This window comes from Homo sapiens, chromosome 3, assembly GCF_000001405.40.
Source record: "Homo sapiens chromosome 3, GRCh38.p14 Primary Assembly".
In the NCBI taxonomy this organism is placed as follows: Eukaryota; Metazoa; Chordata; class Mammalia; order Primates; family Hominidae; genus Homo; species Homo sapiens.
In genome coordinates, this window is record NC_000003.12 from 179,816,577 (window position 1) to 179,830,883 (window position 14,307).

A 14,307-nucleotide genomic window follows, 5' to 3' on the forward strand; every position below is an offset into this window, starting at 1 on the left:
GGGCCTGTTGAGGGGTCGGGGGCTAGGGGAGGGATAGCAACAGGAGAAATACTTAATGTAGATGATGGGTTGATGGCTGCAGCAAACCACCATGGCACGTGTATACCTATGTAACAAACTTGCATGTTCTGCACAGGTATCTCAGAACTTAAAGCATAATAAACAATTTTAAATTAAATTTATTTATTTTGATTAATTATTATTTATTTTAAATTTAAATTTCTGCTTTTCCTTATTATGAATATAGTACATTTTCATTGTATAAAGTTTAGATAATACTAAATAATATAAAAAGATACAAAAAGTTACCTGTAATGCCACAACCGAGATACGACCACTAATATTTTTGAGTTTGCTTTCTTCTGATATTTTTTGTTCTTTTTGTTTCAACAGTTTCCCCTCAAGATTTTAAAAATACTGATTCTTTAGACATGTTTTTGCTAAGTGCTACCACCCATACCCCGAAATATGAATCCCACATACTGTATATCTGTTTACCTACTAGGGCCCTTTGGAGAACTACAAACCATTGTCATAGCTAAGAATTTTTTTGCCTTCACCCTGAACCAGTTTTTGCCTGTTGGGGGCTATATTGCCCCTGTTGAGCATGCATGTTTTAAAGTTAAAGATTTTTTTTTAATTGTAAAAATTTAAAGAATACAGGATGTATAAATAACTGGTATTTTCTATGAGCATATAAATTAAACAAGTAGGCACATATTACATAGGCAGTCTTGTAGCTTAGGCCTCGCTTAGTTTTATATTGTGATTTCTCTATGTTATTAAAATTATTCCCATGGATAGGCTATATTTATTTACTCAATCCCCTATTGATGAACATTCAGGTTATTTTAAAGTTTTTGTTATCATAAATAAAACTACGGTGAAAGCCTTATGCACAAATCTTTGCTGCATGTACTTATTACCTTAGGATAGACTCCCAGAGGGATTTATTAGGTTAAAGGTTATGAGCTATTTTTAAGCCCTTGAAATGTGTAGCTAAATTGTTTTTGAGAAAAATTTGTCCAATTTAAACTCTCATCTGAAGTATCTGAGAGATGTTATTTGTTGCAATTTTACTTGCATAGATTGTCATAAAATCTTTTAAATTTGATAGATACAAATAAGCTAGTGTGTTGATGATGTTACTAAGGTTTAAGAGTAGATCAAGTGGAGGCCTTCAGTCTCCATAGGTGCTTAGAAGGACAAAATGCCCCATCAAAAGCCACAGGGTGTGACTGGCTTATGTGGGGTTAGTGTGGGTATGGGGTTCTGGGAGTAAGGGGCTATGGAGCTCAGGCAGACCTCGGGGGCACGAGTTACAGCCCAGAGTCTGATGATCTGAATCAATGTCCTGTGTTCTCACTTAGCTATGATTTCCTTGTGGAAAAGACAGTTACTTTTAATGAGATGGTTGTTCTAATTTTATGAGATTGCCTGGCCCATTGAGGGACAGAGTATTTGGAGGAGAGAGACATTTTAATGACTATGTAGATTGCAGATCTACTAAAATCGGAGACTATTCGTCATCACATCCCCAGTACTTAGTGTAAGAGTAGATACTCAATAAATATTTGTTGCATTAGCAAAATATCATGAATGCTATCCAGAACTGAATATTACTGAGACTTCCTCCGCCACAAAATAATAATATATACTTATCTATATATAGTTTTTCTTTTATTCTTTTAATTAATTAATTAATTTTTAATTTTTGTGGGTACCTAATAGGTATATGTATTTATGGGGTACATGAGATATTTTGATACAGGCATACAGGCATACACGTATGTGATGTGTGTAACAGTCACATCAGGGTAAATGGGATATCATCACCTCAAGCATGTATCCTTTTTTTGTGTTATAAAGAATCCAATTATACTGTTTTAGTTATTTTAAAAGGTACAATAAATTATTGTTGAGTGTAGTCACCCAATATGCTATAAAATACTAGATTTTGTTCATTCTATGTAACTATGTTTTTGTACCCATTAACCATCCCCAGTTCCCTACCCCCCTCCCCTGCCCATTACCCTTCCCAGCCTCTGGTAACCATCATTCTACCCTCCATTCACATGAGTTCATTTGTTTTAAATTTAGCTCCCACAAACAAGTGAGAACATATGAAGTCTGTCTTTCTGTGCCTGGCTTATTTTACTTAACATAATGACCTCCAATTCCATCCATGTTGTTATAAATGACAGGATGCCATTCTTTTTTATGGCTGAATGGTACTCCATTGTATATATGTACCACATTTTCTTTTCTTTTCTTTTTTTTTTTTTTAAGACAGGGTCTCATTCTGTTGTCCAGGCTGTGTACTGACACCATCACAGCTCACTGCAGCCTTGACCTCCTGGGGTTGAAGTGATCCTCCCACCTCAGCCTCCTGAGTAGCTGGGGACTACAGGCGTAGTCCCCTATAGTCTCCTGTAGAACTGTAGAACTACAGTTCTTTCTTTTTTTTTTTTGGTAGAGACAGGGTCTCACTCTGTTGTTCAGGCTCACATTGTTTTTTATCCATTTGTCTGTTGATGGACACTTAGGTTGCTTCTATATCTTGGCTATTGTGATATATGCTCTTTTAGGTAAGAAAGTTCCACATTTTTCTTTCAAGTCATTTACACTTATTCCTCAGTGTTCCCCCCAACCCCACCAAGTGTTTTTAAATGCATAAATCCTAGAGCAACTGGGACTTCATGAGTGATTTGGCTGGTTGTTCACTGTACTTGTGCATTTGCTGGGGCTCCTATCAGGGGAGTACCTCTAAGGAATCCTCTTGGGACTTTACCTGGTTGTGTGAGAGCATCTTTTCCACAGAGTTTCTTTGCTGGCTATATAATGACCACCTGTGAAATATAGCCCCAAGTCTCCACTTCATTCCCATGCCACTGGTATCACTTCTGTTGTTGGTAAATCAACAGCACTCACATGACTGGCTGACAAGAGTATTGTGACATTAGACCAATTCTTGTTCCAACCCACCCTCAGTGTCAGCTAGTTCAGTAACTGGCTAGCAGTCAGGATCCAAGCTCTGGTCAGCTGCCAAACTGTCTGTCTGAACACCGATAAAAATAAGAGCATTTCATTCCAACTTGGCTGCCTTCACACGTTGGATAATTACGTTGTCTCATTCTATCAGAATTTCTTCTAGGTCAGATTGACATTAAATTGTCTTTTTAATTACTGTGTTTTTGACAGAATAGCTATTGACTAATCTATAAAATATGATCCAAAAAGGTGGAGAAAAGTAGTCAGCATGTATAGGAACAGAATTGGTTACCTTCTCACTAGCCGAGATGGTTACTTGGTTCTGGGCTTCTTGGTTCTCAGATATCCAGTTCCTCCGAGCCATTTCTTCCCATTCTGCTTGCATCTTATCCCAAAACTCTGTATCTGACTGGGAGACAGGAAAAATGAATGGAGATGGATTTAAGAACATGCCACATCATCTGTGTTTTTCTTCCCCCCCTAATAGATAAAAGAGGCTTCTGGGGAGGAATAAAATGGCTGATGACATCCAACTGATAGGCGTGGCTGAAGAGCTTCTGGAGGGTACTCACTGGTCAGAGTGTTGAAGTGGATTAGCTGTGGTTTTCTCCAGCAGGAAAATAACTACCATCAGAAAGACCAGGACCACATATGCCAAATTCAGCTAAAAACCCACTAGTTATGTACAGTTTCATGTGTGGGCACTAGGCTACATTTTAGGAAGGGCAGTCTCTCCCAGAATTGCTCCTAGCATATAAAGAATTAGAGCAACTGCTTTGGGACTGGCTGAGCAGTGACTTGGGAGGACAGCCAGGTATGGACAAGAGAATGAAACATTAGTTGATCCTACTCTGTGTCAAGCACTGTGCCAGCAGAAAACAGAGCCTGGAGGGTTATGGTCCCAAAGCTAGGACTCACAGGATCCGAACCTCATCTGCCTTCCAAGCCCACACTTGTAAGCTTATGGCAAACTTGGTCTGCTGGTGCTAAAGAATGAGGGACCCTGGTGTGAACCTGACTGAATCCTCTTCAAGGACTTTTATGTGGCAGGATTTTTTGAAAAATGCTACTTTGTTTTTGTTTCCTTGTAGTTTCCCACACATCTTCGGTAAGGGAAATCAGGCTGTTTACTCTTCTTTACTTCAAGGGAGGTGTGTGTTCCTAGACTGAAGAAGATTTTTGCTGCAAGAGCTGTCCCTGGTTGACTCCTATTTTATTAAGCCTGAAGAGAGTTCTTTGGGTGGCCCAAGGGGCAGGAGGAAGAAGCAAACATCTTAAAGAATTTAAGAGAGACAGAATTTTCCAGGGGTAGGGAAAGAGATGGAGGGTGGCAGGTTCTGATTAGTGGGAGACTGGTGCTCAGTTTTTAGCTATTTCCCAGGCAAACGAGCTTGATATCAGAGAGGAGGACTGTGGATATATAAAGAAGGCTCACTTGAACCCCTGTTCTCACATGGCCGGGAAATAGAAAGTGAATTTCAAGGAACCACTTTGGCCTTGGATAGCTGTTAGTGGTCACCATGACAGCCAGAAGCGGCGGGGCGGCGGGTGGGGGAGACTCTGTCCTTGTTTTCTGACACTACATAAGCCTTCCATATTTCATATTTCATGCCCTAGAGTAAGTTCTCTACCAGCCTGCTAAGAGAGACACTTGGAAACCACTTTATTTTCTTTAAACAAACAAACAAAACAATGAGTATTCCTTGAACACCTGAATCTGGGACTGAAATTCATACTCTTTACAAATTGCAAATCTCAGTGTCTATGATTCGAAATCCTGTGACTTGTTGATATACCATCACACTGACTTGAGGTTAACCTTCACCTTTTAATCTTCTGGTCTGCCTGGGCTGTGGCTGCCCTGAAGCAAGAACTCTTCTTCAGAGTTGCTTTGAGTGGTAATTATAATCTTATTTCTTTTAGATACAAATGTTCATGGAATAAGAACCAGCCCAATGTGATAATCCCAGGCTACTAAATAGTAGCTCTTGCTCTTGCTTTATTATGTCCAGAATTCTCATTCCTCTCACAGAAACGGGTTCTGCCCCTTTGGCAAAGGCCTCCTCTCAACAAGGCAGCAGGCATCTTGATAATCTATGTCCATGATGCTGGAAGCACATGGAATGGCTACTAGGTATCCAGGTTCAGCTCAGAAATAAAAATCAAAATTTATTTTTAATGGCTTTTTCTAGTAGAATAACACATTGTGCAAACAGAATGATCTCAAATATACAATAGCAATGGCTAGATAAAAGACTAGGAAGAAATATGCCACCATGTTAATAGAAATGTGCCTTTGAATGAAGAAATAATGAGGGATGTTTTTCCTGCCTCTTCATACTTTTCCTACTTTCTGAATTTTCTATGATGAGCATACTTTGCTTTTATAATTAAAAAATAAGGTTAAACAACAAAACAAAAATATCTTTCCTTTTTTTAATACCACAAAACCTGAATTATTAGATACTAAAAACTTTGGAAAATATTTGGGGTAATTCATTTTTTAAATAGCTTTTCAAAGATGCAGGTTTAACCTGTCTGCAGTAGAAGGAAAGACAAATCTATCAAGTGAATTTTACAATGTTTGCTGACTTTCCCAGACTCCCATTGGGTGATACGAGAGGCCAATGACTGCATATACTTTCCAAGGCAAATACATTCATCTAGTGAGAGTCCTTGGAATTTAAAGCATATTACAAGTCTTCTGCATGAAAGAGAAGGATTTGATAATGTGTACATCTGAGTTACCAAAGGATGCATTACCTTTGTTGCAGCTTGAAATTAGAGCAGTAGATACATAAATAAGGCTGCTTTGGAAAACTGAGAGAACCTCAGCTGAGGTAGAGCTGCTGGGCTCTCACTTAATGAGATACACCAGAACTCACTGTTACCACTTAAAATGAGTTACTGCTGACTAATTAAAGTGCAGAGCACAGTTTTCATTTAATTACAGAAGACTACTTTTAGTATAATCAATTTTCATCCTGTTGCAGAATCCAGACTTCATTCACGTAGCTACAATTAACGCTGCTTCCTCTCACTATTTTAAATGAATTTTAGAGAAACCTGAAACATATCTGAATTTTAAAGACCTTCGACATAACTGAGGGGATTTTATTTATTGATGATTTTCTTAGCTCTTCTGGGATTTTGGTAGATTGCTGTTTATACTCTGTGTAACAAGCTATCTGCTTATATCAGAAATGAGCTATTATTTGCCATCCATATCCATGTCTAAGAATAGTTCTCTGATGATAAAATATAGTACATACTCATAAAAACATTGGGATATGCAGCATGGTGGTTAAGAATAGCAGCTTTCCCCTTGGATGGACCTGGGTCAAATTCTTGTTCCATCATTGCCCTTTTGTGAATCTCTTAATATTTCTAAGTCTTATTTTCCTTATATTTAAAATGAAGATATAATAGCAATTTTGGTTAGTTGTTATGACAACTAAATGAGAAAATGCATCCGTGGCATAAAGTTCATGGTAGGTGCTCAAAAAAAGTAAGTGTTCTTGCTAGTGTCTTTGTAGTATTGAGAAAAATATAGAGAATAAAACAAAAATCACGCACAATCGCAAAGCTCAAATATAAAAGCTGTGCATAGTTTGGTGTTTTCATCTGCTGTAAAAACATATTCTTCTTCTAGACATCTTCCTTCTCTTCATTTAAATCTTTCCCTTCCATCTAATTACTCAAAAATAAGATCAAGGTTAAGAAAATTATGGTAAAACCTCTATAATGGACTGTTACGCAGCAATTAAAATGATGTTTATGAATAGTTTATTATAATATTGAATAGTTCTTGAGTTATAATGTTTCTTGCTAAGTAGTATAATCACAATAACAGAAAAACAACCACAATAATGATTTGGGGGAGAAAAGACTAGAGAAAGGCGCTGTATAACTCTTTTATGGGATGAGGTTATTAGTAATTTATCCCATCAGTTTTTAATGTACTTTTTACCATTTTCCAAATTTTCTATTGCTAGCATACGTTATTTTGGTGGAAAAGTAAGATTCGGTTTAAAAAAATGCTTACTTCTTTTCAATTTCAGTTTCTCCATGATGTTTTCTTCAACATTCCCACACTAGAGCAATCTTTTGCCTCTGAATTCCTTCATCATTGATATTCTGTGTTAGTGGTTTGAAAGAAGAAAGATGTGTGCTTGAATTTGAGCAAGTCACTTTAACTCATCTGTAAGTTATTTTTCCTCATTTGTAAAGTGAGAAGATTGGGTTCATTAGATAGCAGCTCAGGCATCTTTGTCTACATGGATTGACTCAGATCAGAATAAGGCAGAAGGAAGATCTTAGCACAGAATCACATTTTTTTTTAAAGGGGCCTTCTAGTCTATTTAATAATCTCCAAAAATTATACTTTAAAATGTTTTCCCAAAAGTACATTGGACGTTATTTTCCTTCACTTTTTTGATTGTAAAACTGGAAAACAAAATTTTTTTATAAGAACCAGGGCAATATTAATTAAATATTAATTATATTAAGATATGAAGAATAAGAAAAGAAGCAATTTATTTTAGAACAGGAAAGTTTAAGGGATGGCAGCATATTATCAATTCCAATTCACCAGTTTATTTTAGTCATCTAGTTAACATAGAGCTACTTTTGATTTTGTGGTCAAATGTAATTGTCAGTTAGAAAGATCCTGGGGTTGTGCTGTAAAGGAACTAATCAATGTGAGATTAAGTGCCAATTCTTCCTGGGAGGAGTCTGGATTTCTTTTTGCCTCTTTAGACTTCCATTGATTAACTGTCACTGGATCAAAACTTGAGAAAACCAAACCAAACCAAACCAATCCAAACAGCTCTGCCTATGCAGAAGAAAAGAAAGTAGGCCAGGTGTGGTGGCTCACGCCTGTAATCCCAAGACTTTGGGAGACTGAGGCAGGTGGATCACCTGAGGTCGGGAGTTTGAGACCGGCCTGACCAACATGGAGAAACCCCGTCTGTACTAAAAAATACAGAATTAGCCAGGCGTGGTGGTGCATGCCTGTAATCCCAGCTACTCGGGAGGCTGAGGCAGGAGAATCACTTGAACCCGGCAGGCGGAGGTTGTGATGAGCCGAGATCGTGCCATTGCACTCTAGCCTGGGCAATCAGAGTGAAACTCCATCTCAAAAAAAAAAAAAAAAAAAAAAAGCAGTACTTCTTTTACATGACAAGGAATGAAAACCACTATGCAAGTTTGGATTAAAAATTTGCCCCAACAAACAATTTTGCTGAAGTGAAATTATGTGCATATCAATGTGGGGCTTCACTGCCCTGGGGTCCAGTAGTCCAGGCTGGCCAACGGTAACTGAGTGTTTCTACTCACCATATTTCCTGTTGAGTAAGAGCTCAATACTAGTTGAAGATTTTATGTGGCTGCCCAAAGAACATATTCAACCCAGAGCTACATCACAGATGTGCAGTGTTCTCATGGAGGATGGGATAGAATTTCAATTGGTCAGAATTAGTTTGAGCTCTTAGTATGGTGCTGGGTGTCCCATGTAGTGGTCTCATTGACAAACTGGAATCTCTTCAGGCATGAGTGACCTTGGGCAGGAGTAACCCTGCTGATGAAGAATGGGTAAAGGAGCAACTCACCTGCTAACACAATCATCAGGGGGATGCTGAGAGCTGAGCAAACCAGCCCAGCTTTGTTTTGCAGATGGCAGAACCAGGATAAATGAAAGGCAATTCCAGGGGGACAAATTTTTATCAAATGCAATACAAAACTGCCTGAAAATGAAATGGGCTCCTCAACCTTAGAAGTCTTCAGGGATGGAATGACCAATGTGAGGAGTGCTGTAAAGATGATTCACAAATCAGATGGAGGTTTGACCCAAAGAATTCTTTGGTCTCTAACAACTGTGAGTGTCTCTGGTTGCAATGTTATTAATGAATTGATTTACTGAGCCAAACGGGAAGGCTCAAAATTAATCAAATCTCTGTGAGATAAACATGGATCTGTCATGCATTCCCCTTTCTCAATCTAAACAGTATAGGTCTCAATATTGGTGGGGGTATGCTGGAAAAAAAAAGGAGTTAAATTTTAAAAAGAAATGAACAGTGTATGGAGGAAAACAGATGGGCTTTGGCCTCAGGTAAAACAGGCTGTAATTCTGGCTAGGCTCCTTGTCACGTGACCTTATGCAACTTAGTTCACCTCTTTAACTCAGTTTCTTCATCTGTAAATTGTAAAAAATCTCTTAAGAGTAAGCGTTAAGCGAAACAATGTATGTGAAGTGCTTAGAACTTGTAACATCTAAGAGCTAAGGAATCAGCAGTTAATGCTATTTTATTGCTTGGAAATGAAAAATAATATTTCCCAGGATACAGACGGAATGCAATCTTATAAACTATGTGAATTGTGTGGTTCAGAAGTATGGCAAAACAAAAATATTGGTACTAGCACTCAGATTTTTCTAGTGACGGAGTCAGCCATCACTCCAGATGCTGGCAGGCACCTGGACAAACAGCCCGAGGCTCTCACCAAGCAATGTGCCAGCAGGGTAGCTGCAGAAATGTGGGGAGGAAAGACTGGAAATGATGGGAAGGGGAGGAATGAGCACAGGAGGCTGGAAATAAACAATATAAGGTTCAAGAAGTTTGGTAGAAGGAAATCAAGAGCCATTTCTAACAGAGGAAATCCTAGATAGTGTTCTGTTATTTCCTTTCTCTTCCTCCTTACCCAGCAAGAGGGCAAACAGAAATGGAATATTAAAGAACAAAGAGCAAAGTATGTTGTCTAAATAGGAAGGGGTCACTTTTGAAAGGCTTTTAGCATATTCATTAGCAAACGAATGTCTTTGCAGAACTGGAATTTCACATGATTATATCTGTGTTCTTGGCTCCTGTGGTATTTGCCTTCACAAAAAAAGAACTGCTGTTAATGTGCAATGGAATATGCTGAAGCTTTCTGTGCTTCAGGCATAAGGTTTTGCAGGGCCAGTTTCTCAGTGGCTGTTTTTTATTGCAGCAAGTAGGGGCTGGTGACTAGGGCTCCTTTACCATGGGCATGAGGAGATGGGGACATGTAGACATGGGCAGAGGGTCTTGGGGTTTGAATCTTGTCTGTGTTCCGTATGATAACAGGTTATGTGATGAAAAAAGCCAGCAGTGAACTAGAGGAGTGGGAGTCAGTTCCTGAATGGGTTTCTTTTTCTTTAGACATGTTTACAAGTCATGAAAACTCACCAGGAAGCTCTCTACTTGTTTTAAAAAATAAAGTATTGCACATGTTTACTAAGCCTAAACTACATGTTTGTCACTGTGCATTGCATTATGAAAATATTTAGGAAATGAAACAAGCCAGAACAAAAATATCTAGATGTGGATGCTACCCTCAAGAAGCTCAGTGCCTAATGATAAAATAAAAATAGTGGTAACTGTAATTCAGGACAGGGTGAACAATAAAATGCAAAAAGAGATGAAGTTACTTGCTCAGTCTCACACTATCATTGGTAAATGATACAACCAGAAATCAAAATACTTCATTCTTTTCTTTGACAGTCGATTGCTTCTTCCCCAAATGGCTACAGCAGTTTTTCTGGCTCCCATCTCTCCAGAACCTTGTCTCACTTCATTAAGAGTTTGTCTATTGCTCTGTCTTTGAATGCCTGCCTTGACAAATAGAACACAATGGGAATACCCGGGCGTGACTTTTGAGGCTAGGCCCTAAAAGGTGATACAGTTTCTGCCTACCTCTTCCTGAGGACACTCACCCTTGGAATCTAGCTACCACCTTGCAAAGAAGCCCAAGCCTCAAAGGCCCCATGGAGGTGTTCCAGCCATCAGTCTCAGGGATGTCTCGAGTAACTACAAGCATAATCCATCCAAGAATCTGTTTGTGAGTGAGTGTGCCTTCAGATGATTCCAGCCTTCTACCCTCATCTTCAGCCTTCAAGCCACTCTGACACCTTGTGGAACAAAGATGAACCATCCTCTCTGAGCCCTACCCAAATTACAGAGTTTTGGGCAAAACAAATATTGTTGTTTTAAGCCACAGGTGTTGGAGTAATGTGCTACACAGCCATAGTAATTGGAACATCTTTTACTACTTTAGGCCAGAGGACTGGAGTGGGGGAGGAAGATGAGGCTTAGAGAAGGGACTTTACTCTGGAGGCTTCTTTGAAGGGTTGGTAGGCCAACGAAATGTGTTAGTATCTCCCAAAAGACTGTTCTAGGAACAGAGTTCTGTGGCCAAATGAGCTTCAGCTACTTTAGGTTAAGCTAAAGGCTGCAAATTGGTAGCCTACAGGTCAGATCTGACAGAAAATTCAGTGACCAAACTTTAGTCAATCTCCCCCCAGCCCTTTTCTCAACTAGGCTTCAATCCCAGGTTTCCATATCTGTCCTTGTGAAGTCTAGTTTTAGCAAGAATCCTGCTAAATCAGTCTAGACAGAATTCCTCTCTTGATATCTGATTGCCTCTACATCTGACCAAATTTTTCATTCCCACCATCCCCCAGGTGATGTCTGATCACCTGGCCTGCCTTCAGCAAAAATCCTAAAAAGGTAGGTTCAACCAGAATCCCCCCAACCCCTGATGTCTCTTCTTAGTAATTTCCCATTCACTGATACCCACCCTTCTTTGGCTGGATCCCTGCTTGTCCATGCTGTATTCGGAACTGAGCCCAGTTCTATGCTGAGGTCTTCCTCCCCCTGGCACCCACTGCAATAGTTCCTGAATAAAATCTGCTTTTACTGCTTTAACGACTGTATGTCTCTGGTTTTCCTTAGCAGATCTAGCCAAGATACATGTTTTCTCCCTTCTCATCCTGGATGAGAAATTTCACATGAAAACCCAGATTTCAGACATTTTGTGAAGATCTGTTAATACAAGACCCACATTTCTAGAAGCAGCAACTTTCAGATGCTGCATGTAGTCTCTGCCACAGTCAGCACCAGGTCCATACCTTTACCTGCCTGGCCCTGTAGCCAACTGAGTTTGCAATTTCTGGACATAAGGAAACAGGTTCCTTACTGTGTAACTTCCCAGGATCTTCATATGTTAATGTATATTTTAAATCTCTGAGAGGGGTATGTGAGCAGCAGTCTCCTAAATGTATTTTACCTTTAACTATGTGTATGTGTGTGTGTGTGTGTGTGTGTGTGTTTAGGGTTCTCTAGAAAATGTTGAGATAAAGCCTTAGTGTATGAGCATCTAAAGTTCCACAAAAACAGAGACCTTTGGTGGGCTAATTTTTGTGTATCCTGCGACCAGCTTTCAGGAATAAGAGTCTATGACATAGTTTGTTTTACGTGATTGCTTCCAGTGAAACTCATCTCCAATTAGCCAGCAGGTTTTCTCATCCTCACATCTGCTGTGTGAATCAGAATTCTTCAAGATTTTGTTGCTGTTATTATTCTAGAAAGGGAAATGAAACCCAGAATGTGGAGAAAAGAATTAAAATAATTTTTGGTGTGTTTTTGAGAAGAACACTCATTTGACATATTCATCTTCTCAGTACTAACCAGTAATTTAAAATGACCTTTGAAACTGCATATAATTATGTATACAGAGTAGACAAAGACTGGAAGAAACATGAAAAAATGAAAACAGTTAATTTATTAGTCTAGTGGGATTGCTGGGGAGTTTCTGACCTCTCCAAACCTTTTCCAATTTCCTTTACTATTTTTGCTTTTCTCTGGACTGTTTCAGTTGATGCTGCCATACTATAGTTGTTTTCAAAACTTCTGAAGTAAGAGAAATTCTCTGATAAAGAAATTGTTTTCTGATGACCAAAAACTTTTAAGTTCTGTGGTTGGTTCAGGGCCTGCAAAATTAATAGCACCAAACAGTGCTTTATATTGGGAACAGTGATTAAGAGCAGGAATCTTGGGGTTAGATCAGGTTAGAATCTCAGTACTTAATGGTGGTGTGACCTTGGACAAGTTACTGAATGTCTCAATGTCCCAGTTTCTCCACCTTAAAATGGGAGTAACACTTTGCTGATAGGGCTGTTGTGAGCACTGAGTGAGATGAAGGAATGTAAAGTACTTGGCTTAGAACACAGAAAGTGCCCACCCGGGGGCGGCATTTATAGCTACAACTAAGCAACCTTATGTCTAGGAATGAACGGGTTCTTTTCTCCCGTTTTCCTTTGATGCAGGCAAACGTCAACAGAGGGATTAGTTTAGATGCATTTTCCTTTGTAATATTTTCCTTGGTGATAAATAATTTAAACTTGCTATATCTTTTTTTTTTTTTTTTTTTTTAAGACAGAGTTTTGCTCTCGTTGCCAAGGCTAGAGTGCAGTGGCGTGATCTTGGCTCACTGCAACCTCCACCTCCCGGGTTCAGGCGATTCTCCTGCCTCAACCTCCTGAGTAGCTGGAATTACAGGAGCCTGCCACCAGGCCTGGCTAATTTTTTTTTTTTTTTTTTTTTTTTTGTATTTTTAGTAGAGATGGGGTTTCACCATGTTGGCCAGGCTGATTTCGAACTCCTGACCTCAGGTGATCCACCCACCTTGGCCTCCCAAAGTGCTGGGATTACAGGCTTGAGCCACCGCCCGGCCTTAAACTTGCTATATCTAAAGCCCATATAGATACTACCTTTTACTTTGTGGAAATAGTATTTTCCTCTCATTCTTTCAGAATATTTGGAGGGGGGAAAAAACCTGTTTCATTTTGGCAGAGAAAGTCCAATTTAAAAAATCACTTATATTGTATTGATCATATTGCCCTGATATTCTGATTTCCTCCCCCGCCCCCCCCCTTTTTTTTATGACTACCTGATTGTCAAAATGGTTGACCAAATGTAAAGACAAAGTCTGGATCTGGCTTCTTATCTTACGAGGCTATTGGGTAGGAAAATGGTTGAAGCTGCTTTGACGCTGAAATCAAACTGGCTGACTCAACAGCAAGGCAAGGATTCTGAAAAGCTGGAGGGAGCTTCCAGCCATGGATCTGGTGCTGGTGGCATCACGTGGGAAGGTGAATGTGTCTGTGTTACCTTGAGCTAATATACAGCTATTCGTGCCTAATGTGGAACTAGGTAGTTTCTGTTATACCCACCAATGCCTCAAAAAATTCCAGATGGCCAAAATCATCCCATATTTTCCTGGTGTATTGATTTATTGGCCTATGAGGATTAATTTGGACAGGACTAGAGAAATATTTTCTCTTCCAAGGATACTAGGCATTTGATCTAGCTTCTTGGCAGCAGCTGCCTCATTCCTGGTATCAAAACAAAGAGAGGCTCCCCAAAAATGCCAGGCCAGAGACTCTACTGGCCAGAGAAAAAACCCCACTCTCTGAGAACTGTTTTCCACAGATCCTGACAGACAAAGGGGAGGAGACTCTAG

General features: G+C 39.3%; 1 protein-coding gene across 38 annotated transcripts in view; it reads right to left on the minus strand.

Moving 5' to 3' along the window:
- The window catches only part of PEX5L (peroxisomal biogenesis factor 5 like), a 241,980-nt gene that overhangs the window by 21,619 nt on the left and 206,054 nt on the right, over positions 1-14,307 (minus strand). For 37 of the 38 annotated variants that reach the window (NM_001349404.2, NM_001349401.2, XM_047448299.1 and 34 more), the window contains one exon: positions 3,284-3,400. In NM_001349404.2, coding sequence (NP_001336333.1) covers positions 3,284-3,400 — 117 coding nt within the window. The remainder of the gene's footprint in view (positions 1-3,283; positions 3,401-14,307) is intronic. The other variant, NR_146167.2, reaches the window with a different exon arrangement.